The 27,741-nt window shown below is 37.2% G+C and overlaps 1 protein-coding gene across 25 annotated transcripts in view, besides 1 other annotated feature; it reads left to right on the forward strand.

The window, feature by feature from the left end:
• NRG3 (neuregulin 3) overlaps positions 1–27,741 on the forward strand; it is a 1,111,986-nt gene that overhangs the window by 405,617 nt on the left and 678,628 nt on the right. The gene's annotated exons all lie outside the window — the stretch shown is intronic.
• Positions 7,401–8,600: an enhancer, noted in NCBI's record as "CDK7 strongly-dependent group 2 enhancer chr10:84047967-84049166 (GRCh37/hg19 assembly coordinates)". NCBI's record gives its function as "activates an origin of replication core promoter dependent on BRD2, BRD4, P300/CBP, MED14 and CDK7 cofactors, with strong dependence on CDK7, by STARR-seq in HCT116 cells {active_cell/tissue: HCT116}" and the evidence as "EXISTENCE:reporter gene assay evidence [ECO:0000049][PMID:35650434]".

Here is a 27,741-nt window from a genome sequence, read left to right on the forward strand (position 1 = left end):
GAAGCATGGGCAATTAACTAAAGGGAAGTTGAAGCTTTAGTAACTCTCCAATGGCAATCCATCCTGTCCTGTGCCAGCATGGCCACCCAGAGCAGACCCATGCCTGCTTTCTGCGGGGGGATGTGGGATGTTTGGTCCCAGAAATATTAAAAATTACTGGTGTTATCTCATAATTGTAGCCTGATTAAATAGATCTTATTTTTTGTTCTATCTTTTGTGCAAAATGGCCCTTGTACAGAAATTTTCTGAGATACTGAACTATGGAAATAACCCTGGGATTACATTGGTACTTTTCTGGACTGGAAGACTTGGAGTGACATGCTGCAATTTTTACCAAGTTTTGAATAGATCATATGGCTTATTTTCTTTTAAATACTTGCATTGCCGTAGTGTAGGTTCCTGAGCTAATTTCCGTCTGGGATGAGGTATGGTCTTCTGATGTCCAGTCATGGGTCCAGATGGTGATGGTAAGAAAGATAGCATGATTGCTGAATGGCATACAGAAGGAAACAGAATTTATCCCTAGTAAAGAGATGGATAGGAACTTACTAGAACAACAGGATATCCTCTTGTGATTAGGAGAGGAGGTATTACTCTTCAGCAAAGACCTGGGGTACTAGATAAGATGTATTGGCCCGGAGGAAACAACAGAAGAAGAAATCTGTTGCACAGTTAAGCTGCTGTGGTTGGTGGTTGGTGAGGATGGAGAGGAATGTGGGGATGGGGTGGAACTGACTCCAGGGACTCTTTTAATAAGACTCAACGTAATTCAACATGCAGCTTGCATGAGGAGGACAGGGACACTCCAGTGGCTCCTGTAATTGAGTCCTGACAGTGAATCTAAATTCCATTTTACACCAAGAAAGTCTAGATGGAGCCAGAGGTGCTTTCCCTGATATGGCCAGATATGAGAATCAAGGGAGGGCAGAGGAAGATGGAGAGAGTGTGCCCTGGCAGCTATCATCTCATATTCTCTGGACTTTGTATTTCCCTTGCCCCATGTCAGGTTTTGTTTGTTTGTTTGTTTTTGTCTGTATCAGTTTTTAATTCATTTTTACATTATTCATTGAATATATTCATAGAGAAAGGATTGACAGTAGACATGGCTATTTGTTGGATTTCTTCTGTATTTTATATGTAGCCTTTTGGTAACAAGCAAGGTGGACATCCTTTGTTTTATTTCACCTAATCCTAATACTATGTATTCCAAGCCTGTGCTTATATGGCTGTGGGTCTCAAACTCATATATCTACAGAAGTCAAGCAGAAATGTAAATCAGGAGCAGGATAGTGGGGGCTGTGTCCAGCTGAAGGCTGCTTGCCCAGTCTAATGAAACTGATCTAGAGGAGGTTGTTCTAGCCATTTTTTCTAGAAGTGGACACATACGAGGCAGATAACTAGATTGTTTTAAAGAAACATTTTAATTTTGAAAACATTACATTTATTTATTTATTTATTTATTTATTTATTTATTTATTTATTATTTTGTAATCTGGAGGGTTTAGCTGACCTCTGGGCCACCAATTCACCTGCACTGATGTGATTGGGAGCCAGTGAGAGTTGTGGATCTGTGTCTTGAAAAGTCACTTCCTTTATGCTAGTGTAGACCCATCAGTAGTAGGTCACCTGGAAGCCAGGGCTCTGCGTAGGACTCAGGGCAGCAGGACTGAAAGTTGTGTAACACAGCAGTTAAAAGGAGGGCTCAGGACCAGAATGCCTGTGCTTGAATTCCAGTCCAGCTACTAACCAGCCATGTGACCAGCCAAGTTGATTTATGCTTCTAGCCTCGGTTTCCTCATGTAAAAAGTGGAGAAAATATAAGTATGTGTTTCACAAGGTTGTTGTGATGATTAAATGAGTTAATGCAAATTAGCGACAAAGGTATGTATGCATCCTCACTGTTAGGAACGAGGGAGCAAGATGGGACATGGTGGTCCCCTGAGTCGCAGTCAGTGAGGCAGCTGTGTCCATGCCTGTGGGATGCTTTTCCACTAGCACCTCCACAAAATTTTTAATTCGAAGGGTAGGATGAGGGATCTGAGATTTTAAAACACCTCCCAGGTGACTTCTGCAAGAAACACCTGCAGAGGAGAGAGAGCTTGGTCACTGGGGTCCGATCCTGGCCCCGGTGTTTACTAACAGTGTTGCCTTGGGCTGATGACTCATCCCAATCTCTTTGGTTTCCAAACGTTCACTAATGCGATCTGCTCTGTGAGGCTGATCATCTGGCAGAGCTCATGGCACTTAACACAGACTCTACAACACGAGTTCTCCTGTCTTCTCGGTCTTAATCTAGTGCAAGTCTCCCCACCAAGACTTGGGAAACACTCCTAAGGAAACAAAGAGGAAGAAAGTGAGATCCCAGGGGTGAAGATTGGATCCTTTGTGTGCTTAGTTCTGAAGTGGAATCAAATCACTTCAGAAGTTGGTTGTGTGTTGGCCTCTGGTGAATTTGTTTCACAATGCCATGTAGGAGTACATCCGTGGCTTCTCATATTTGTTTGCCTAACTATAATTGAGCAGCTTGAATTCAGGCTACATTTTTAAAGAAAACTAGTGATCATATTCACATATGATGCTCTGGCAGTACACAGAGTCAAGTTTTCACTGGAAAATAGCTATTAAAACCCAGCAATGTAAGTTTTCCTATGCAACCTTGATTTATTATTTTGTCAAATATAGTTCAACCTATATATAGCCAGTTAGGAGCAAAGGTGTAGGGTAGGAAATCTCTAGCTCGGTTCCTATAGTATCCAACATTCTATAAGAAAACATGCACACACTTATCAACAGGTTTTCAATAATGAAGGCACCATACAACCCATGATAATTATACTAAATATACTGATGCTTATGATTTTCTCATGCTGTGTATCTGGAAGGAGCCTGGTGTCCAGCCTCATACTGGGTCATGGAAGTAGCCTGTTGTGTCTCCGTGTTCTACCATTTATCACAGGGCATCATTTCTGCATCTCGAGTCCCAATTCACAAAATTGAAAGATCTCTCAGGCCTGAGCCTATTGTTGTTTTATCTTTGAATTTTTGACAACCCAGAACATGCCACATTTCAGGAAAGGTTTCTTGAATGAGTGCATAAATGAAGCTTTGATAATGATTTGACATTTCAGCATCTTCTGGTTTGCTCGTAGTTTGCTAAGGAGGAAAATGAAAAGAGAGAAAGTTAGAGAGAGCATTGCGAGCATTGCGATTTCCAGGATATACTTTTATAATGAGTTGTTCCAATACAGACTGCAAGCTCAGAACTTTGAATTAACTGGCACCCATTGTATGCCACCTGATGTTAGTGACAAATGTACCCACTTCAGAACAGGAGCCAATATCTGCGTATCAGGGAGCTGCAGAGATGACAGTGAAAAGGTACATGGCAAGTGATGAATGGTCAGATGCTAATGCCAGCAAGCCCTTTGCTACAGAGATGGAGAGTTTAATTGTTCCCACTTTGATTTCATACCGCAGACGCCATAAACATCTTAGTTTAATCAACCAGAAACATGGGCTGTCATAGATTTAAATTCATAGCAGTTATGGGTCTATATCAAAAGCTATAGAGATGCTTGTTACACACAGATACAAGAACAGGAATGGAAAGCACTGATGTCATCCCCATGGGTTAAACTGGACTATCTGTCTATTTTTCCTGCAGGGTGAGGAGTTTATTAACAAGAAACAGTGTTTATCATACTAGGCATTCAGATAAATCCATTTTCCATTTAATTTATTCATTTGGAAAGGTCAACTTTTCCACCAAAACAATTTCTGTTTCTTTAATGATTTCTTTAATAACTTTCTGTATTTTTGTTTGTATTTCTCTTCTCTCATTTAAAAAAATCTCTTTTCAATATGCCAATTTAATTTTAGCACACCTAATACAAATGGCATTGAAAAACAGGTTTCTTGAGTGTCTTTTTTTCTTTTTAAAATTATTCTCATCACTTCACCTTAGGATGTTTTGTAAGCGCATCACATGTGTTTCATGTGAACCTCACTCAGTACTGGATCTTTTTCTTTCCATTTACATCCTAGGAAGTTATTGTTTCCCATTCCAATACTGTATGCATTTTTCTTTCCTAATTGGCGCTTGCTAGTAGACAGAAAAACATTACGTTTAAAATCCATTTGGCTTTAAATTAATATTTTAGCTGTATCTGAATTATCCCATGAGGCCATATTTATCTTGGAAAACAGATTGTGGTTAAACTCCTGTTTCTAACTTTTATTTGTTTGGCTGATGCCATCTTTCTGTTCAGAAAAGGAGTTAGGGCAGTTGTCTCCTTCCACTAGGCCTTGAATAGCAAATGTTTAGCCCCGAGCAAAAAAACATAACTGCCTTCTGAGATGTTTCAGGCTTTCATTCATGCTGTAGATGCTAATTTTGGAGGAAGACAGAAGCTTATATTCACACAGTTACTAAAAGAGCACCTGGGTCAGGGGGTGGAGACTCGGTTTACCAAGTTCTTAAAAGACAACATGGCTCTTCTGACTTCAGCAGATAAAGAGGAATCGGGGCATTTTCATTCCTGGATCAATCCCACTTCTTGTTCATATGGTCTGTTTATTGCACCAGCCATTAACCAAACTTATGATAGGAAAGTGCAGCTAGTTTTTCAAAATAATGTTTTAAGTCTTCTTTTTAAAAAATAACCAATTCCCCCAGGATATAATAGTCTAATTAATAAACTGATGAATGTTATAATCCATTAGACAGCATTATCCCGAGATGGAAGGGATAGGTATTATTTAATAGGAATGTCCAGAGCAGAGTTTATCAGTACTTTCTTGTCACATGAAAGTACAGTTCCTGGCTCAGAACACACGCCAAGGCTGGTGGCCAGAGGGAAGAAAGAAGGGAAGAAAGGAGGGAAACAGTTGAAGCCACTGGCTGCTTTCTTCTCAAGAGCATGCTTTCTGTTCAAAGCACTTAGTATGTTTGCCTCCAAATTCTGAACTCCTATGACTTCCTGCTAAAGCACTCACCTTCTTTTTATTTAGCTTTCCAACCACAAGTCAGAGCTGCCCTACCTCAGAATAGAGCTTCTTTATTCCTTCAAATTCCCAAGTTTATTTACATGGAAGGGGCATACTGCTCTTGTTAGAAGAATATTAAGAATATCCTTGAGGTTCCCAAGAATTGTACAAATAACTGTTGATTCTTTGGTGATAGACATTCTGATTTTCAACATAGAATGGCTATGCAGAGTAGAGGGTGTCTGTTATGTGTTGATTCTACAAACAGAAGAACTAAATCCACCTGTGTGTTCAGTTTTTTATACCTTTATGTCCTTTATATTCCCAATGGGGGTGAGGAGCGCAGGTAGGAAGGGTAAGAGTCTAAGAAATTGTGCTAAAAACTCATAAGCTTTTGGTTTCAAAATGATTTGGCAAAGGAATTTTATCCTGAGGGACCTGAGTTTGGGGTAAGTTTTAAAGGAAAATAGTGAAAAAGTAGCAACTATAGATTATTAGTTACATTTAACATTTCATGATGGGATGGTGGTGTGTGTGTATGTTGACACATAATGTGTATGTGTATATGTGTTTGTGTGTGGATATATGTAGGTGTGAGTGTTTAAGGTGGGAGTCTTTTGACTCCAGCTTTTATCATTGAATGCAAAGGGCAGAGGAAAATTCACACAGATAATTCGAAGTTTGAACATTTATATTTTTTGTCTTTATATCTCATATTCCTAACATGGGTAACAATGTGCAGACAATTTAATTCTTTTATCCTCAGATATAAGCATTTATTTATTTTTATTTACTTATTTACTTATTTTGAGATGGAGTCTCGCTCTGTCACCCAGACTGGAGTGCAGTGGCATGATCTCGGCTCACTGCAACCTCTGCTTCCCAGGTTCAAGCGATTCTTCTGCCTCAGCCTCCCAAGTAGCTGGGACTACAGGAATGTGCCACCATGCCCGGCTCACTTTTGTATTTTTAGTAGAGATGGGGTTTCACCATATTGGCCAGGCTGGTTTCGAACTCCTGACCTCGTGATCTGCCCACCTCGGCCTTCCAAAGTGCTGGGATTACAGGCGTGAGCCACCGTGCCCAGTTAGATATAACCATTTCTTATAGGAAGACACAATCTTTGTTGAAGAATACTTTGAAAGAACTGCATTAAGGAAATCCTGATCTGGGACTCAGGGTGTGGCACCTAGGGAGCAAGTGAGAAGAGTTAATTAAAGTACTGTTATAGCAACAGAACTGGGCAGTAGGAACTGCAATGTCACTGAGAAGAGGAAGGAGGATAATAGCTGGCTGATAGAGTTTGATATGTGTCCCCATCAAATCTCATGTTGAATTGTAATTCCCAGTATTGGAGGTGGGGCCTGGTGAGGGGTGTTTGGGTCATGGGGCAGGTCCCTCATGGCTTGGTTCTGTCCCGGTGATACTGAGTAAGTTCTCATGGGATCTGGATGTTTAAAAGTGTGGCCCCTGCCCCACAAGTGCTCTTGTGCCTGTTTTCGCCTGTGACTTGCCTGCTTCCTGTTTGTTTTCTGCCATGGGTAAAAGCTCCCTGAGGCCTCCCCAGAAGCCGGGCTGATGCCAGTACCATGCTTCCTATACAGCCTGCAGAACTGTGAGCCAATTAAACCTCTTTTCTTTGTAAATTACCCAGTCTCAGATATTTCTTTATAGCAATGCAAGAATGGCCTAACACTCAGGGTGAGCATGAACAAGCAGGGAGGGTCAAAGAAGAGGAGGTCTTTGGTAGGAGTATGGGTCAGGGAGTGGGGTGAGGGTGGGCAGCATCTTGGAAGAGGGTAGATAATGCTTCTCTGAGATTTCTAAAATATCTTTAGTTTTTATTGTTCATGATCTTTCTTATAAGAGAATTATTTTTGGTAGACTCAAATTCAAGCTGTGTTCTGGGTTCAGGCTGGCACAGATTAAAAACTGAAGCTGGTGAAGGAGTGGCCACAGCTGGAGGGACCACTGGGATTCTGTTTTCTTGAGACTTTGGTCCCGACCTATATGGTGACCATTGGTCCAACATAGGTTGGGACCAAATTCTCAAGAAACCAGAAGACATGGTTCCTCCCTCAGGTTGCTCACAGCATGCCATCCAGTGGTCCCTTGTTGATCATGATTATCGGGAGTAAATTCTGTGTCAACAAAGTTGACCTGGCTATATTTAATTCACCCCCAAATCAAGGCCAGTACTCAAGTCATTTTAGTAAATTTCTGTGGATGCAGTACTACAGATATGTGATTATAAGGGGAGCCCCGATGGGGTCCCATTTATTCCTTTATGATTACCAGGAGAATTGAAAGGCAGATCTTTTTTTGATGAATGTGAATTTCTCTTACTATCTGAATTGTGGAGCCCAATTCCATTCAAATAAATTATCTATAGATTTACTGAATAGGGAAAATAATTTTACTGTTTATTGAGAGGCTGTTGTATGCTACCCTTTTCACTTACATTAATTTATTTAATATTCACAACTCTCCTGAGTGGCTATTATAATTCTTATTTTATTACTGAAGAAACTGAGGATTAGAGAGGTTAAGTAATTTACTCGGTATTATTCGGTTAGTAAATGGGAAGGGCGCAAAGCTCAGAGGTGTGTATGGAAAAGACATTGTTTTTCCTGGGCTGTAGAGGGCTGGAAGTGCTTTCACTGAGGCTCAGGCAGTAGGAGCCGGGCAGCAAGGAGGAGGCAGCCTGAACATGGGCCAGGATGCTGTGCCGTGTGGGATGTGTTCACTCAGTCAACAAACATTTATTGAGTGCCTACCACATGCCAGGCAAGTAGGCAAGGTATGCCTACCACATACCACATACTGCTCCAAGTAGGGTGGATAAAAAAGTGAACAAAAGAAATCCTCTAGAACTCACGATCCAGTGGAATGATGCTGTCACAAATGCAATGACACTGACTCAATGGTTTGCAGCAGCACCCAGACCATCTATTGTTGAGGGGTTTGACATTCCTTCTGATGACTGGCACATCGGAGCATGCTGACTTATCTGCCTACACACTGTGTTGTGAAACACACGATTGTGAGATGGCTCATGAGTAATTTGTCACATTCCTACGTATCAGAACTGGTCAACCTATAAATCCACGTTTGGTCACTTTAGCATTAATAGACATGCTGTAATGACTGCTGGACTTGGGCACCTCTTCCCACCTTGGACAATGATTTGTAAGCACCTGTATCTTTAGTAGAAGTGCTGCCACTTCCATCCTTGATGGCCTTGATGGCATCTTTCCAGGAGCACTGTTCTCTTCTAAGTCCATGCTGCTCCCTGTACTTCTTGGCTTTTCTGTGGTATAAGGTCCCAGGGAGGGTAGGACATTGACTTTTTCTCTAACTCTTTGCTTTAGTTTCTAAACCTTTGTCTTTGACTTCGCTTTCTGATTCCACCCTTCACGCCATCAGCTCTAGAGACAAAGGTAACAGGACAAAGAATCAGGGAATGAGGTGAGTAGTACCTGTCTCTCTGTCCCCCTTTTCTCCCCCTCCTCAGGCAAAATCCCTTCCCTCCTTCAGCTGCAATGAGACATCAGAAAGGGCCAACGACTTACTAGTTATCTTGTGATCCATTTAGGAAAAGAGCAAAGTAATTGCACCATGGTTAGAATACTCAGTATATAAACAAGAATTCAAGTTCTAATATCTGCGATAGACTTATTAAAGAAAGAAATAATAGTAGATTAGATTGAAGTTTATCCTTATAATAACTTGTCTCTTGCTCTCTTGCATTCACATTTGTTTTCTTGAGATGAGATAAAAGATTTAATTTACTGAGAATTTGTTATGTATGAAAATAATATTCATTTCCTCCAGCCTTTCAATTTTTTTGTCACGAAGTTTTGTATAATATATACCTTTATAGACATATTTTCATCTTTTCTACATATGTGGGAATGCCAAATGAAAGCCATTTTTCCTCAATATAACATTTTTAACAAGAGTTCTTAAAATAATGATTCCCCAGTTAATGTATACATATACATTTGCAAAATAGCAAGTTCATTTGGTAATTGCAGAAGAAATAATGGCTTTAATAACCACTGCTCCACTTGGTGTCTGCCTCTAAGCATTGTTAGGACAGCAAGCATCAGGCAATTCCCCATGGCCCTGTTTTCTGAGAAGGTTCTATTTATGTCTTCCGAATTTTGACTATATTTTGACATTTTCAAGTAAGTGTATGGCATCTGTTGAATAAATGATCACTCAAAATGGATTTGCCTCAATTATCACCTAGGCTTTAATCTCTCTAACTACAAACTCCCCCTTCCTCACTGTTGCTGGCAGTGACACCTGCATTCCTGCTGCACCGTCATCCTTGGGAAGGGCTTTGGAGTTGCAATCAGCATCCTTAAGAGAAGAGTACTTAGGTGTAGTATGCTTTGGCTGTTCTCATAAGTCGTTATTGGTCAGCCTGAAGCCTCACTGTTACAATTACTTTGTCTAATTATGATTTTTGCTGTCAAACTTATGTTAAAATTTCAGCAATAACAGTTTATTTGTTCAGTGCTCTCACTGCATTATAAACATGAAGTTTTCACATTTTGTATGTTTTAGTAATCATGAATGACTTTCTAGTATTGTCCACATTATATATTTGATATCTATTTATACTGCGAATTAACACTGAAACAATGAACTAACGTGATTTTCTTGAAGACAACACATTGTGTTCAGTTGGTTCTCTGAACCCTAAATAAAGCTGAAAAGTGTATTAATTTTGGTATGGATTCCCTAATGATTGCACAGTTACTTGTATATATTTTATAGCTGTAAATCTTGGTGGATAAACTAGAATTAGCAGTGCTCAATGACTTCAAATGATTTTTTTTTTTTTTGAGATGGAGTCTCTCTCTGTCACCCAGGCTAGAGTGCAGTGGCGCGATCTCGGCTCACTGCAACCTCCGCCTCCTGGGTTCACACCATCTCCTGCCTCAGCCTCCCGAGTAGCTGGGACTACAGGCATCCACCACCACGCCTGGCTAATTTTTTTTTTTTTTGTATTTTTTTAGTAGAGACGGGGTTTCACCATGTTAGCCAGGATGGTCTCGATCTCCTGACATCGTGATCTGCCCGCCTCGGCCTACCAAAGTGCTGGGATTACAGGCGTGAGCCACCGCACCCAGCTGACTTCAAATAATTTTAAAGATTATACACACACACAAACACACACACATACACATTATTTTTCTTTTGAACTGAAATAACACCTGGTTTCAATTGTTATACATGTTTTCTCAGCTAGTGCTATTGCAGTTGAACCATAATATATATAAAGACAATATGTGGATCCTAGAGGTAATAAATTATTTCAGCAAGGTTGTAGAGTACAAGATTAACAACACACACACACACACACGCACGCACCAGTCACATTTTTATATACTGAAAATGAACAGGGAAACAAAAATTAAAAATGCAATAGTATTTATAATTACTCCAGAGGAAAAGACGTGATTAGATGTAAACTTTAAAAAACATAATCTGTACATACTGAAAATTTAAAAATGCTGACAAAAGAAATAAAAAACATCTTAAATAATTGGAGAGACATATGGTGTTCATGTACTGGAAGTCTCACATAGTAAAGATGTTAATTCTCCTGAAATTGATAGTCATTCCTATAAAAATCTTAGCAAGATCTTTTGTAGATAAGCTTATTGTAAAAGGTGCATGACAGATCCTAGAATAGTTAAAACAATGTTGAAAAATAATAAAGTGGGAAGAATTACTTTGCTGAATATTAAGCTTATTATAGAACTACAGTAATTAAGACAATTTGGCAGCGAGAGAGACACAAATCAGTTGGACAGAATAGAAATTCTTTAAATAGATTCACACCAATTTGCCCACATGATTTTTGACAAAGGCACAAAAGCAATTCAATGCATGCAGGATACAAGTTTCAACAAATGGTCCTGGAGCAGTCAGATATTCATAAGGAAAAACAATCAAACAAACAAAAAACCCAACTGAACCTCCACATAAACCTCACACCTTATATAAAAATCAACTCAAAATGAATTATCGGCTGGAAACATAAAGCTATAAAACTTTTAAGAAAGAAATACAAGAGAAAATTTCTGGGATCTAGCATTCAACAAAGTGTTCTTAAACTTGACACCAGACTCAATACATAAAGGGAAATGTTGATGAAGTCTACTTTATCAAAATTTAAAATGCTTGTCTGAGAATGAGCTTGTTAAAAGAATGAAAAAACAAAGTAAAGACTGGGGGAAAATATTTGCAAACCACATATCTGATGAAGAATAAGTATTTAGAATATATAACACAGTCTCAAAACTCAACAGTTAAAACGATCCCATTAAAAATATGGACCAAACACATTGAGAGACATTTCCCCAAACTGAATATAGAGAGAGCAAATAAGCACATGAAAAGATGTTGAACATTATTATCATTAGGGGAATGCAAATAAAAACCACAATTGATATCAATATATAGCTATCATAATGGCTAAAGTTAAAAAAAAAGAAAAAAGGAAGTAGTGACAACACCAAATTCTGACAGGCATGCAGAGAAACTGGACCTCTGAAACATGGCTGGTGGAAATATATTTGGTACAACCACTCTGGAAAACAGTTTGCCAATTTCTTTAAAAAAACCTATCCATGCAAATATCATATGACACAGTACTTGCACTCTTGCATATTAACCCCTGAAAAATAAAAAGAATATTCACATAGAAACCTCTACTTAAATGTTCATAGCAGCTATAGTCAGACTAACCAAAAATTAAAAACAACCTAGTTGTTCTCTGGTTGTTCTTTGGCAGGTGATAATTAAACACACTGTGGCACATGTATATTGTAGAATACTACTCAATAAAATAATGAACTGTTGATACAGTCAACAACTTAAATAAACCTAGATGGAATTAATGCTAAATTTATCAAGCCAATTTTAAAAGGTCACATACTTCATGGCACCATTTATATAACGTTCTTGAAATGACCAAAATATAGAAATGGAAAACAATGTGTAGTTTCCAGGGTTTAGGCAAGAGTTCAGAGTGGGAGGGAAGTGAGGAAGCTTATAAGAGGGATCCTTATGGTGAAGGAATATTCTGCATCTTGAGGGTGTCAATGTCAACAGCTTTCTTGTGACACTGCATTATAGTTGTGTAAGATATTACCTTTGGGAGAACTAGGTAGAGCTACATGGGATCAGTCTATTATTTCTTGCGGCTGCATGTCAATCTGCAATTATCTCAAAATAAAAAATTGAATTCAGACAAAAGAAACAATACATGGAGGAGGCTTTTGGCCCCTGTGGGAGTGCTCTCTTGATTCTCCTGTTAGAGAGAGAACTGTCTTTTCAGGTACAAGATGGGCTCCTCAGCCTCCGTCCCAGATGGTCTACGTTGAGTTCAATTTTTTGTTAAGTCAAGAAGATCTGTACTTAGACGGCAGTATAAATACTTGGCAGACACTGCAAAAATGACCTCAGTACATACAATATTTGTCAGAAAGCTTGCTTGGTATCAGCATTGTTCAGAAAAAAAAATACTTGAAGACCACAATTCTAAAAACTTATCTCTAGAGCAAGCCTAGAGAGGAGAGAACTGAGTGCCTAAGTTCAATTATTATTGAGCCATCATGAAATTGTGTTTACAGAATCACACTTTGGTGATCCTAGAAGAAATATCTTCCTTTAGTCAAAGAATGATAAAATTTCTCTGAGGCATTAAATTTCCTATGGGAATTGTGAATTATATGACCAATTTTTCTCCTTCTCTTAGGCTACTGAAATTCTACAGCTAATTTGATTTATTCTGTAGCAATGTGGGGGTCATTATATATGATTGTTCAGGCATGACCAACTATTTTTCCTTGGTTCCCCATCTTACCTTTAATTAATGTATCTTGTTAAAGTTTCTGAGTCTTTAGAAGCTGCCTTAAATCTCTATGTGAATAAATAAGGAATAAAGATAAATTTATCTTGATGTACCTGCTTCAGCCTCTTAATATCTCGTAATTGCATAGGACTGTCCTGGAAGCATATTGAAAAATTAAAACAAAAAAAGACTTCTATTTCTGGAATTTTTCTATGCCTCCTTCAACCTTGTATTTAGCAAGCATATTTTTGCAATTTTTTTTTCTTTCTCTATCTTGACTTCCTCTCTCTTGTTAGCCCTCTGATGAATGGGCCAGTTTGAATTTGCTACTCTGGTTTTTGGCCTTTGACAACCTGCCAGCAAATGCCCCGCTTGTCCTCTCACCAAGGATGAGAAGTATCCCATCCTATGCTCTCCCTCAGCTCTAAGGGATTTACTCAAAAAGAGAAAGAGCAATTAGGCCCTGGACATGCATTCTAACTTAATTTTAGCCTCAGTCTTCTCTGATGGAAACCATGCTTTAAACATTTCACTCCCCACTAAACTCAGTTCATATCACAAATCCTCTTCAAAATAACAGATTTATTTAACCTTAAGTAAAATTAACCTTGGATTGATCCGAGGTGAATAAAGCATTTTAGTTATAAATGGAAAGCATTGAGTCTGCCATTTCTAGACCCATTTCTAAGATGCCTAGGATGCATTAGATAATTTATATAAAGTGATGTTGTGTAACTAATAAACACATATTCTACTGATGAAGTGTGTGTGTGTGTGTGTGTGTGTGTGTGTATGTGTGTGTTTGAAAGTTTGGCAGTTACACATACAGTCATATGCCACCTGCCACCTCCGTATTGTGCTGTAAGACTTCTTCAGTCATCCTTAAGGAAGTGTTTGATCCCTCTTTCTTGTTACATATAAAGACAATGCACTTTAAATACTACTTTAAAATCTGCATCAGCGTTATATGCCTGCTTGGCCCTAGGCTCCAGCTTCACCACATGATTTTCTCTCCAAATGAAATATACACACTACCTTGGGTTCTTCTGTGATTTTTCCTGTCTACTCACATTTCTTTATTTTTCACTCTTGGAATATCTGAATTCATCATGCATAATTTCTGCTGTTTCATGTACTTGAGGAATGCAAATATTTGAGATCTGCAGCTACAGACAAATCAATAGCCTTGTGGTTCCATTTGTTCCCTTCTAGCTTTTAATTCTGATTTTTGACAGTTTCTGAATATGGTAAGTTATAGCCCTGCATTACTAAGAGCAATAAAATATAAATATATCAATTCCTAATGAATTTAAATAACTTGTGAAATAAATCAAGGAGCCCGGAAAATTTAAATGATAAAATTTAAGGATGAGATTCATGTGCTATTTGCTGACTAATGTAAAAAAAAAATTCAACCTGTTTATGACTAATGTTAAATCTTAAAATTTAAATTGCACATGACCTTGGTCTGTTTTGTTTCACTATGATTATGACTAATCCCTCCCAAATTTATAACAGTTGAACTAATGCAATGTTGACTGTCAACAGTTGAATTCCTAAAACAAAAATAAATATGACTCGTTTCATTTAAGATGTAGATGGGATTCCATGGAAAAGGACAAAGATGGATGATTATGCTGTAATAGAATTGGTTGGTTGCCAGCGATAAGCTTCAATATAAGAGTGGCAGGTGCATTGTAGTGGAATGAACAATGAGCCTAGTGTCAAAATCTCTAACAGTATGACCTCGGTGGAGCCTGTTTTTGTTATCGAGGGTACATTTTTAATAGATGAGCCCCTCTGGGGTCTTGAGTAAAGTGAAGAATCATAAACACATTCACTATTAGAATCTGAGGGACTCTGTCATGTCGTCTTCCATACCGCTGGAGCTGGGTCTGCCTAGTTCCCGAAATGGACACTCCAAAAATATCTTATAGGAAAAATAAAGAAAATTCTTTCTTCCTGTGAAACCTTTCAGCCCTCTCCAATTATTGTCAAATACAGTGATTTTATTCAGGAGGATTCAGTCTGCTATTTTAACCTCTGGCTTTAATGCTAAGTATTCTAGCCTAATATTTATACTATGTATATTTTCTCAACGTCATCTACCAGTCAGTAGGGTACCTTGGTATTCATTTTCTTCTGAATTTATTTACTAATTCAACAAATACTTATTGAATTGTTTATGTGGCAGGAGCAGTGCTAAGTTCTGAGAACCCAAAAGTAAAAAAGGACAAAAAAAACCCCTATTTTAGGGAGCTTTAAAAATTACATGGATACATGTAAAATTACTATAGTAAGTGCTGTGAAGAAGAGATCCTGGTGCAGTCTATGCATATAATGGTAGCTTTTACTGATCATGGAGGTGAGACCAGGCTTTCCTGAGGAAGTAATTGTTCACCAGTATCTAAAGGATGAGCATGAGTAACTCGGTAAAAGGTTGGGCATGAGCATTTCAGGTGAAGAATATGACACGTGAAGCAGTCGTGTGTTTGAGAGGGGTGTGGTAAATGTAAAGTCAGTGTGGCCGCAGCTCAGAGAGGAAGAGGAAGGCTGGAGAAGTAGTGGTGCTACTAATGTTTAAACTCGTCCCAAAGGCAATGAGAAACCATCAACGTTTATTAGGCAGGGTTGAGAGTGGGTGAAGTGACATGATCTCTTTTGTATCTGACAAACCATCCTTCCTTGCATGCGGAGACTGGCTGCCTTGGTGGATGCAGGTGGACAAGGCAGCCAGTGGAGTGGTTGAGAGAAGAGATATTCACGGCTAAGATGATGGTGGTGGTGGAGGAAAGCAGGTGACACGAGTTTTTATTGGAGGATAAATTTGCTTAATTGTTAATTTAATTTATTTTTATTGATAAATAGTATTTGTACATGTTTATGGGGAATATGTCATATTTTGACCATGCATACAAATTGTAATGATCAAATCAGCATATTCAGGAAATTCATCACCTCAAACATTCATCACTTCTTTGTGTTGGGAACATTTCAACTCTTTTCTTCTAGCTGTTTTCAAATATACAATACATTGTTGTTAACTACAGTCATCATATTGTTCTATCTAACATCAGAACTTATTCCTTCTATATGAGTGTATGTATTTTTTTTTTTTAGATTTGGGGGATATATACATATATTTGTTTGTTAAATGGGTATATTTGGTGATGCTGGGATTTGGACTTCTAGTGAACCCATCTTCTAAACAGTGAACGTAGTACCCAGTAGGTAGTTCTTCAACCCTTTACTCCCTCCCTCCTTTCCTCCCCTCTTTTGGAGTCCCCATTGTCTATTGTTTTCACCTTTATGTCCATGTGTACCCATTGTTTAGCTCCCATTTATACATGAGAAAATGTGGTATTTGATTTTCTGTTGATGCATAAATTCACATAGGACACTGGCCTCCTGCTGCATCCATGTTGCTGCAAATGAAATGACTTTATTCTTTATGGCTGCATAGTATTCCATGGTCTATATGTACCACAGTTTCTTTATCCATTCCACTGTTGATGGATACTTAGGTTGATTCTATGACTTTGCTATTGTGAATAGTGCTACAATAAACATAAAAATGCAGGTGTCTTTTTGATAAAACATTTTTTTTTTTCTTTTGGGTAGATACTCAGTAGTAGGATTGCTGGGTCAAATGGTAGTTCTATTCTTAGTTCTTTGAGAAATTGAATTTGAGAATACATTTAGCAGGGCTTGGAGAGTGGGAGTTTAGGAAGCTGATGGTGAGGATCAGGGCAGATGACTGCCAGTATTGCTTGGAATATGTAAATCAACCATTGGAGAGGAGGGCAACATGTATAACATTATAGGAGCTTTTGACTGGTTTCTCTGCTTAGTAGGGAAGAAAATTCAGAAAGAACAAGTGTAGCTCCCCGATTCTGACTAAATTCACCCATAAGAAAGCCCCTAAAGTTTTCTGACCCTTCACTTTGCTGATGTATTTTATGCATATGAAATGATACAGGTGAAAACTCTTTGAGATGGATCATAATGTATAAATATAGGTTATTATAACATATTATAAATAATTGTATTACATTTTATATATTAAGTATACATATGTATATAAGGCATATGTGCTATTGCACTTTTTTATTGTATACATTGTATTGTTTTTTTCCTTCAAGAAGTTCATAGAATGACAATATTATTTTGTATTAAGAAAAAATCTGGACCAGGTGTAGTGGCTTGCTCCTGTAATCCCAGCACTTCAGGAGGCCAAGACAGGCGAATTGCTTGAGCTCAGGAGCTTGAGATGAACCTGGGCAACATGGCAAAACCTTGTCTCTACAAAAACTGCAAAAAAATTAGCTGGGTCTGGTTGCATGTGCTTGTAGTCCCAACTACTGGAGAGGCTGAGGTGAGAGGATCACTTGAGTCCAGGAGGTGGAGGCTGCAATGAGCTATGGTCTTGCTACTGCACTCAAGCCTGGGCAACAGAGTGGAGATTCTGTCAAAAAAAGAAAGAAAGAAAGAGAGAGGGAGAGAAAGAGAGAGATAATGACAGAGAGAGAGCAGGAAGGAAGGAAAGAAGGGAGGGAGGGAGGGAGGAAGGAAGAGATGGAGGGAGGGAGGGAAGGAAGGGAGAGAGGGAGGAAGGAAGGAAGGAAGGAAGGTGTGGAATCTAATCCTCAGATCTATTTCTTAACTATCTAAAAGTAGTGTGTTAATGGTGTGATGCTTATTTATTAAAACTGAATGAATGGATGGTAATTTTGTTAACATTTAGCTTTTAAAATCTAGTGAATATATGAGCTCATTTTACTATATAACACATTTAACATTTATAATTTTATTAAATTGCAAACAGACTCGTAAGTAGACTTTTCTTCTCTGTACCTTTGGCAACATATTTAGAAGGCAGTTAACCATCCATTGAGATGGAATATAAAGAGTAAGTCTGAAGTTTACATTTAGATTTTGACAGTCATCATTAGATTATGCAAATAATTAAAAAAAAACCTTACCTCTTGCTAGTATCTGTGCTCAGTGTCCTTCCAACTCCATTCCTTTCTTTCATGTTAACATATCAAAGCCAATGAGGAATTCTATGCTGTGCACAGAATGCCTTGTCTACCTATGGCAGCAAGGGCCACTCTGGGATATGATATAGTGGAAATTAAAGAAAAATCTGCCTTTACTCCAGTTTTAGGATGTTTTGAGGAGAGGAATGTAGATTCCATCTTCTCATACGGAGGTGTTCATTGGGGTTGTGGGAGAGGCCTTCTGTAGAAAGAGCTGAGGTCGGCTCCTCAAGGAGTTGGCATAGCAGGCTGCCCAGAATAAACTGACACCTGATAGATTGGAGTGTTCAGAGAGATGGAGGCTTCCATGGTTTTCTGACCCTGGAAGTATATTGAGATCCAGTGACATGCCGTGGGCCCAAAGGGGAGCACCCCACCCACCATGGAGATTGGGTTTAAAATGATGGGTCAGCTTCTAGACAAAAGACCTGGCAAAAACTTAGGGATCTGCAGCCAAGTGAGAGGCAAGAAGAGTGGCTGAGTCAAGGATGACAAGAGGGCTGATGTTCCCTGAGGTCAGAATGGTTGACAAAATAAGGGATTGGAGTGCTGTTCTAAGCACTTAACACATATTTAGTACACCTAATCTCTTTTCGCACCTATGAGGTAATTACTCCTAAAACTTCCATTTTGCAAATGAGAAAACTAAGTACAGAAAGGTTAAGTAACTTTCTCAGTATCACACAGCTAATAAATGGTAAGCCAGGATTTGATGTAGAAATCTGGCCAGCAGGCTGTGTTGCAACCACTATCCATGAGCACAAAATCCACGAGCCATAGCGAAGAGGCCAGCATTTTTAAAAATGGCCAAGTGGACCAGGGCTCCAATCCAGCCCTGTTTTTTTTTTTTATTGTTGTTGTTAGTTTGTTTTGTTTTTTTGAATAATGCTTTACTGAAACAAAGTCATACTAATTCATTTTTGTATTGCCAGTGGCTGCTATCCTGTTACAATATCAGAGTTGAGTAGTTGTAACTGACACCCTGCGGGAGGCAAGACCTCAAATATTCAGTATCTAGCCCTTGCAGAAAAAGTTTGTTGACTCTTGACGTGGGCAAAAATTATCAAAACCACCAACGAGAAGCACTCAATGAGAGACAAGGGAATTCCCCAATTCCAAGGGATGCAAAAAACCATCAATGTATTTTAGATGACTTTTTATCTGTAGAAGCAGAAGAGATCATTTTATCCATGGGCAACCCCATTATACCTGAAAAGACATTTAACTACTGGCTCGGCCTAAAGTGTAAACTGTAAACCAGATTGGATATTTAATCAAGGGGCTCAGAAAAAAATGACAGGAGTACACGTGTACACGCACACACACACACACCATGTGTTTGTGTATATACACACACAAAGAATGTCAACTATATATACAAATAAAGAAGTGTAAACACATTGTTAGTTTGGGGATTAATATTTGTTATGAGTTAGTATTTGTCTTATGTTAATAAAGAAATATTTATTTGAGATACCTGCTGAAATATTGATGGGTGAAATTGATATGCTGTCCTGAATTTGTCTTATTATAGCAAATAAAATATAAAATATGTTTGAGGAGTATGGTGCAAAAGAATAGCTAAATTAATGATCATTGTTGAAGCTAAAGTGATTAATAGATGATGGTTTCTTATACCATTCCTTTTACTTTTGTGTGTTTGAAAATACCCATAATCAAAAGTTTTAAAAATTGCAATGTAAATTATTTAGACAGTTTTCATATTTTACCATGAAGTGAATACAGAAAAATTAAGTGATTTCATTACACTCTTGCCATAATGTTCATCCCTTATTTTCTTTGTACTATCGGGAAAGAACTAGTGAATTGGTTCGAGGCATAGCTAAGAAAAGAAGATGAGACACCTATTGGGGAGTTAAAAATTACTTAACAAATTTGTTTTGCCCTGTTTGCCGTCACCACAAACATGAACTGAAGTGCGAGGAGTGGCAAATGGTAGGGAAATTTATATCTACAGAAAATCACAAGCTAATAAAGAGTTCCCTAATGGATTCTCTTAGATTCCCAGTAGGTAGATTATGAAATGGTTGAATTTCACATCAAACCCATTGGAAGGGTGGCAGATACTCTCTGAGTTAAAAACACACACACACACAAAAACACCTTTCAGCCTGGTGCAGTGGTGTCCACTTGTACTCCTATAGTCCCAGCTACTCAGGAGGCTGAAGTGGAAAGATTGCTTGACCCCAGGAGCTCAAATTCAGCCTGGGCAACCTACCAAGACCCCCATCTTTAAATTTAAAAAGAAGAAGAAGAAGAAAAAAAGAAAACAACTTTTAAAGATAATGTTCCTGTCCTTAAAATGAGGAGATTAAATGTGCATTAAAATATCTCTTGCAGCAAGTAATTTGGATATATTTCATCAATATGTAATATTTGTGCTGTGTTTTAACAGTGGCGTGTGACATCTGTTGAAATAAAAGTTTTGTTATGTCAGTCAAGCTGACAGTAAAAAGACTGCAGAACAGTTTTCTGACATGCTGCCCTACCAATTTAGCCCTGGCACTATAATTTCCATTTTGATTTCCAATTTGATCCAATGATTATGCATTCCTGCATTCTTAATTTTCAAGTGTTTATGATTTCTCGATGTATTAAAATATTTATGTCTCTATTTGAAGAACTAAAATTTTCTATGAATAAATAGCCATTTATTCTTTTAACAAATACTGTCTTGTGCCAGGCACTGTTGCAGGCACGACAGCAATAGGAAGGAACAAGACAGAATCCTACTCTTTTAAATGAAATTGCTGCTATAGTATTCACTACAATATAGGGTAGATGAATTTATCTACATCCTAGTATGGTTTCTGTTTACTGATACTAATCTATTCTGAAAGAAGCAAATTAAAATCTCCCACTACAATTATTTTTATCACATTTTCTTTGCATTTTTTGATTTATACATTCAGTTTCCATTTTTATTTATATGTATATGTATACACATATATTCCTATATATATATATATATATATGTAAATAGTTGCCTTTATTTTTAATAAAGAAGCACTTTACCCTGATTGTACTTTTAAGCTTAAATTCCACCTTGTCTGACCCTGATATTGCTAATTATGTTACTGTTACTAACTTTTGTTTTGGCCTGCTGTATTGTTGCCCAGGCCTTTATTTAAGCTATTGATCATCACATCACTTTTTTGTGTATTTCTTTTTGGAAATAACAAATGGCTTGGTTCTGTTTAACAATCTTAGTTAATAGACTACCTTTTGATATGAAAATTGACTCCATTTAGAGAAAAGGTGGCAATATGTGTAATTTTTCTCTTTCTGTTTATTTTATGTTATACTTTTTACTGTATGTTTTCTTTTGCCCTTTCCTATTTTTTTTTTCAACTTGGTCAAAATACTATTTTTATTTTCCTACTTGATTGTTTAGCAGTTCTGTTTTTGACTCCATTAAAGGTTACCATCTGCAGCAGAAAAAGTTAATGTAGTACTTTACATGAAATTTTTGCTGAAACCTGTATTTATTTTACTAGCATTACTTATGTAAGAAAGGAAGAAGTTATTGCAAAAAAAATCTATATCATACCCACAGTTGCATATAGCAATTTATATTAAAGTTAATTACAATTTAAACGTCCATTCCTAGCCACAATTTATCAGTAATCATACGTGTTTGTTGGCTACCATATTGTTAATAGTGCAGATTTAGAGAACATTTTGATAGTCACATAAAATTCTGCTGAACAATAATAGTATACTTTGTATAAACTATATATACCATGTATATACTTTGTATACTATAATGCATACATTTTGTAAGTTTGGGAGGTAATTGTTAGTAGGTTAAATATTAATGATTAATAAAAAGTTCAATTTCCTAATACAAACATGAAAGGGCAATACAATTTCACATCACAGACCTTTTAAAATAACATCAGAGTTTAAGTGAGGATTATTTAACAATAAATTATTTAAGTTAATGAAGGATATCCCAAGAGAACTTCTTGCAAACAAACTAGCCAGGACTCAATTTCACGATGACAAGATTTCGAGTAACTTTAAATGTGACAAGAAAGGACGTTTGCCCCAATGTGTCTAATGCATATACACTTAATGTCCTTAAGATATTGGACTTGTAAATAGTCTGAAGCTTTTGCCATTATTTCAATAATGGGTCCTAGTGTCTAGCTTAAGGCAATGTATTCTTAAGGCACTGGTGTCAATGGTTTTTCTGTTTTTTAAGATGATTCATTATCTGTTCAATGAAACATGTGGCCTCCAGTATCAACCACAATTTTATCTGAAGTTGGTGACAATTTGGAAACTCTACATTGTATTTCACTTTTCTAGCATTAATAATCAAACACATATCTCTCTACTATTAGATGGAAATATCTCTATTTTCTTCACCAAATACTTTCAAGGCTGTTTCTCCCACTCAAGTAAGATAAACTTTAAAATAGGCTTGATGTTCACTCCATCTTCCACCTCAAAGCCTGGGTTTTATTAAAATAGTTCAGTAGTTCTATAGTCCAGAATACTTTAAGATTATCCTGTCATTACACCTCTTAATTTGAAAAATCTCATATATTTCCAGATAGCCTATGCTTATTCATTTACATACTACTGTGCGTGTATAAACACACACACACACACACACACGGAAGGACACACAACCTACCACTCTTCCCCCTTATCCTCTCCAATTCATCTGAGGACTCTATTATGATTTGAGTGGGGAGGTGTTCTTATATCATTCCTTGAATATTGTCATCTGATGTGGTCAGTGACTGATAAAAATGTTTAAAGTCATAGTCTTTGTAATTACAAAATTAGAAAAACACTTAAACACTGTTAATTAGAAGATGAGTATAAATGCGCTGGGTAAATGTGCTGGGCACGGTGGCTCACACCTGTAATCCCAGCACTTTGGGAGGCCGAGGTGGGTGGATCATGAGGTCAGGAGTTCAAGACCAGCATGGCCAAGATGGTGAAACCCTGTCTGTACTAAAAATACAAAAATTAGCCGGGCGTGGTGGCGAGGGCCTGTAATCCCAGCTACTCGGGAGGCTGAGGCAGAGAATTGCTTGAACCCGGGAGGCAGAGGTTGCAGTGAGCCAAGATCACACCACTGCACACCAGCCTGGGGGACAGAGCAAGACCCTGTCTCAAAAAATAAATAAATAAATAAATAAAAAAGAAGATGAGTATAAAGGAACTTGGTTCCTTCCTTATGGATGTTTAGCTTGTTTAAAATGTTGCTATCACAAGCAATGTAACATGAATGACATTGTCATTTCCTGTGTAGGCCAGTATGCCTAGGATACAATCCCAGAAGTAGAATTGGGGTATAAGAGTGTGGGTTTGTATATTTTTATTAGATAGTGCCAAATTGTTTTACAAGGGTTTCTACAATCAACATTTCCACTAGAAATATATGGAAATCCCTGTCTTCCTGCAACAATTTTGGAGGTTTGGATTTTTAGAGCCAATCTGATAGGTAAAAAATTGTATCGCTGTGCAATTTAAACTTATTTTTTCTTATTTTGAATGTGACTGGAATCTTTTCATATGTCTAAGAGTCATTTGCAATTGCTGTTTCATAACTTTCTATTTCTTAGCCCATATATTTTCTCTGACCATTGTCTTTTTCTTGTTTTCCGGGAGCACTTGACCTATTAGAAACATAAACTCTTTGCAGAGTAATTTATAGATAAAAATTATTTTTCCAGTTTATCATTTGTCTTTTGATTTTACTTGCAGGGTTCTTTTTCCACTGAGCATTTTGAAATATTTTTGTAGTTGAATTTATTTCTTCTTTATTTTTCCTTTCTCTCTTTCTTTCTTTTAGAGTTTCTGGATTTTGAGACATTGTACTGTATTGGTCAGGATAGGTGAGGTTATGCTATTCCTAGCTCATGTGGTTGTTGGCAGAATTCAATTCCTTGCAGCTATAGGACTGACATCCCTGTTTTCTTGTTAGTTGTCAGCCTGGGGCTAATATGAATTCCCAGAGGACCATGAAATTCCCTACCATCTTTCTTTTGATTACCTTAAAACCAACTGATCAGTGACTTTAATTACATCTGGGAAATTCTTTTACTTTAGCCATATAATGTAATCCAATCATGGGTTGACATTCCATCATATTAACAGGTTCCCTCTATACTCAAGGGGAGGGATTATACCAAGAATCTTGGGAGCTATCTTAAAATATTGACTATCACAGATCTTCTTGAAATTTCTCATCTTCTGGTTTGCATGTTTATTAAGTCATCAGATTCCTCTTTTTTTTTTTTTTTTTTTTTTTTTTTTTGAGACAGAGTCTCCCTCTGTCGCCCAGGCTGGAGTGCAGTGGTGCGATCTCAGCTCACTGCAAGCTCCGCCTCCTGGGTTCACGCCATTCTCCTGCCTCAGCCTCCCGAGTAGCTGGGACTACAGGCGCCCACCACCACGCTCGGCTAATTTTTTTGTATTTTTAGTAGAGATGGGGTTTCACCGTGCTAGCCAGGATGGTCTCAATCTCCTGACCTTGTGATCCACCTACCTTGGCCTCCCAAAGTGCTGGGATTACAGGCTTGAGCTACCGCGCCCGGCCCAAGTCATCAGATTCTTAAAGCAGGTTTATAATGTATTTTAATATCTGATAGGACCAGCTCTCTTGTTGCAATTCACTGGCTTATATTTATTTGATAAAATTTCCATATGGGTTTTAGAATAAACTTACCTTGTTCAAAAACCCCTTTAGAGAATTTTATAAGCATCATGATAAGATATACATGTTAACTTATGGAGGAGTGGCATGTAAGTGATGGAGAGGTTTCCTTTTCAATAAAATATTGAATTTCCATTTACTCAGACTCCTTTGGTTTCAATTAATAGCTTTTTAATTTTTTTCTTATTATGGTTCTTATGTTTTATTTGTTTTGAGATATTTTATCTTTTTGTTTTGATTACATGTGGAATATTTTACTAATATATCCTATAGGTATTATTATTTTCTTAAAAGCAAGCTACTGAATTCAGCATATTCATTATATACAGTAATTTTTCAGTTCATTCTCTTGGATTTTCTACTTATACAATTCTAACTGCTGTAAATAGTGACAATTGTTCCTCCTCCTTAATTTTTTTGTACATCCAATTTCTTTCATTTTCTAACTGACTGCTACTAAAATATAATTTTAAAGAATACTGGTGACTGGGGATATTGTTTTCTTCTTCTCACCCTAGTGGGAATACCTGCAAGGTTTGACATTAACCATGAAGCTATTCTAGGCTGAGAGAGATATATTTATCTGGGAAAAGCTAGTATCCATCTGTTACTGTTTTATTGATTTTTTAAAAATAAATAATTATTGTTGAACTATGCCAAATGTATTTTAAAGCATCAGTTGAGATGATTACCTAATATTCCTTCTTGAACTTATTAATATGACTTTATATAAATAGATCTTTGATTATTGAACTATGCTTGGATTATTTGTATTAACACTTGATCATGATGTATTATTCTTTTTACATGCTGCTGCATTCAGTTTGCTGATACTTTATATGGGGCTTTCACATTACAATTATTAGGTAATATTGGTGTATAATAGATCTTGATCAGGTACTGGAACGACTATTAATAAAATATTTTTAAACTAATTCAAAAAGTGTTCTTTTATAGTCTAACACTGTTTGAATAATATGATAATCTACTTTAAAAGTCTGGCAGAATTCGGCCGAGTGCGGTGGCTCACGCCTGTAATTCCAGCACTTTGGGAGGCCGAGGCGGGCGGATCACGAGGTCAGGAGATCCAGACCATCCTGGCTAATACGGTGAAACCCGTCTCTACTAAAAATACAAAAAAAATTAGCCAGGCGTGGTGGTGGTCGTCTGTAGTCCCAGCTAATCGGGAGGCTGAGGCAGGAGAATGGCGTGAACCCAAGAGGCAGAGCTTTCAGTGAGCCGAGATCGCGCCACTGCACTCCAGCCTGGGCGACAGAGTGAGACTCCGTCTTAAAAAAAAAAAAAAAAAAAAAAAAAAAAAAAAAGTCTGGCAGAATTCTTCCATGGACACATTCCATCCTATTGCTTTTTTTGATGGGACAGGGAAGGGTTCTTTGACAACTTCATATATTTTGTCTGTTTAGATTTTGAATCTTCCCTTAGTGAGTTTTGGTAAATTGTGTTTTTCTAGACTATTATTCACTTCATCAAGCTGTAGCTCTATGAAGTTTTGATATCCAGTACCAGTCTTTAAAATACTTGATTTTAATTTGCAATTTCCTCTGACATAAAGTTACAAACTTAATTTTTTAAATTCCTAGTTGTCTTCTCGGTTAGTCATTAATTTCTTATTTTATCACTTTTTTTGAAGAATACTCTGTGCATTTTCATATGTTTTGGGTGCTATTGTCAATTTTTGTTAATATCCGATAGGCACATAAAAATTGTACTCTCTATTAAAGGGCAAATGTTTTATACACACACATATATACATAATGATAAACATATAGGTGTGGTATGTGACATATCTATATATGTCAATATGATCTATCTTATTATTTATTCTTTTCCATATTTTTAAGTCCTTTTATTCACCTGTGTAATTATCTGTGAGAGATAAGTTAAAATCGCTCATTAAGGAAGAGGAGAAAATTAACTTGGTTCTTTCCTGTTCAAACTCATGTTTACTTTTATGATTAAGAGACAGAATTTGACATGAAGTCACTGGTTCATATTTTTTTCATTGTGTATATCGTAGGTTGTTACATTATGTGGAGAAATCCAAGATTAGTATGATATTTTCCTTTTTAAAAATTCGGAAAGATATATTTTGGGCAATGAGGCCAAAATTATCAAGTCATTTAAAAATTCCAAGACTTTACCAGGATGTTTCACAGTGTTGACTATTTGAACCAGTTTCCTCAAGCACTAAAACATTTTCAATTTTGAGTCATCTTCCTTATTTTTCAACATTTTCTTATTAAAATATCTGTAATATTTATTAGGTTGGTGCAAAAGTAATTGCAGGTTTTGCCATGGGCCATTTTTCCCTCCAATTTCATCTTTTTTTTTTCCTGTCATTTAAAAAAATCTTCTATTTTAATTATTTTCCCTGAATTTTGCCAGCTAATATTTAGATGGCATCTCTGGATGGTTTCACTATTTTTTTCACATTTTTTTTTACATTTATGCTGTGTAGGTTTTTTTCTTTATAAATGTTATTACTTCGTTAATTTATTATGAATTCTTAGCTAAACATTTGGATACTTTTGCTTTATATCAGTATTTCTCACTTGTGAGTGATCTACATCAAATGATAAATTCCAATGCTATTTTTGATATTTTTTCTTAAAATATTATAAATTCTACTTAGTTTGAGGGCTACTTCCTCAAAATCTCATCTCTTATTCCAAACAAGAAGTATAGTTTTTGAACTCCGAGTTGGCCCCTTATCTTCAAGAAGGCATTGATTTATTGATTGATTGACTGATTGAGACAGAGTCTCCCTCTGTCGCCCAGGCTGAATTTGGGATGACAGGCACACACCACCATGCCTGGCTAAGTATTGTATTTTTAGTTAAGAGGCAGGGTTCCACCATGTTGGCCAGGCTGATCTCAAACTCTTCACCTCAAGTGCTCTGCCTGCCTTGACCTCTCAAAGTGCTGGGATTACAGGCATGAGCCACCATGCCCAGCCAGAAGGCCATTTTTGATGGGGCTCTCTGAGATTTTTCTGCTTCTGGGCTCTCTTGTAATATCCCGTATGGCTTCTACTTGATTCAGCTATTTTTGGAAGCCCTTACTGATATTTTTGAATATGCAGATTGGAATTGTCACCTAATGTCCCTGAAAATGGATTT

The sequence above is a fragment of the Homo sapiens genome, chromosome 10 (genome assembly GCF_000001405.40).
Source record: "Homo sapiens chromosome 10, GRCh38.p14 Primary Assembly".
NCBI lineage: Eukaryota > Metazoa > Chordata > Mammalia > Primates > Hominidae > Homo > Homo sapiens.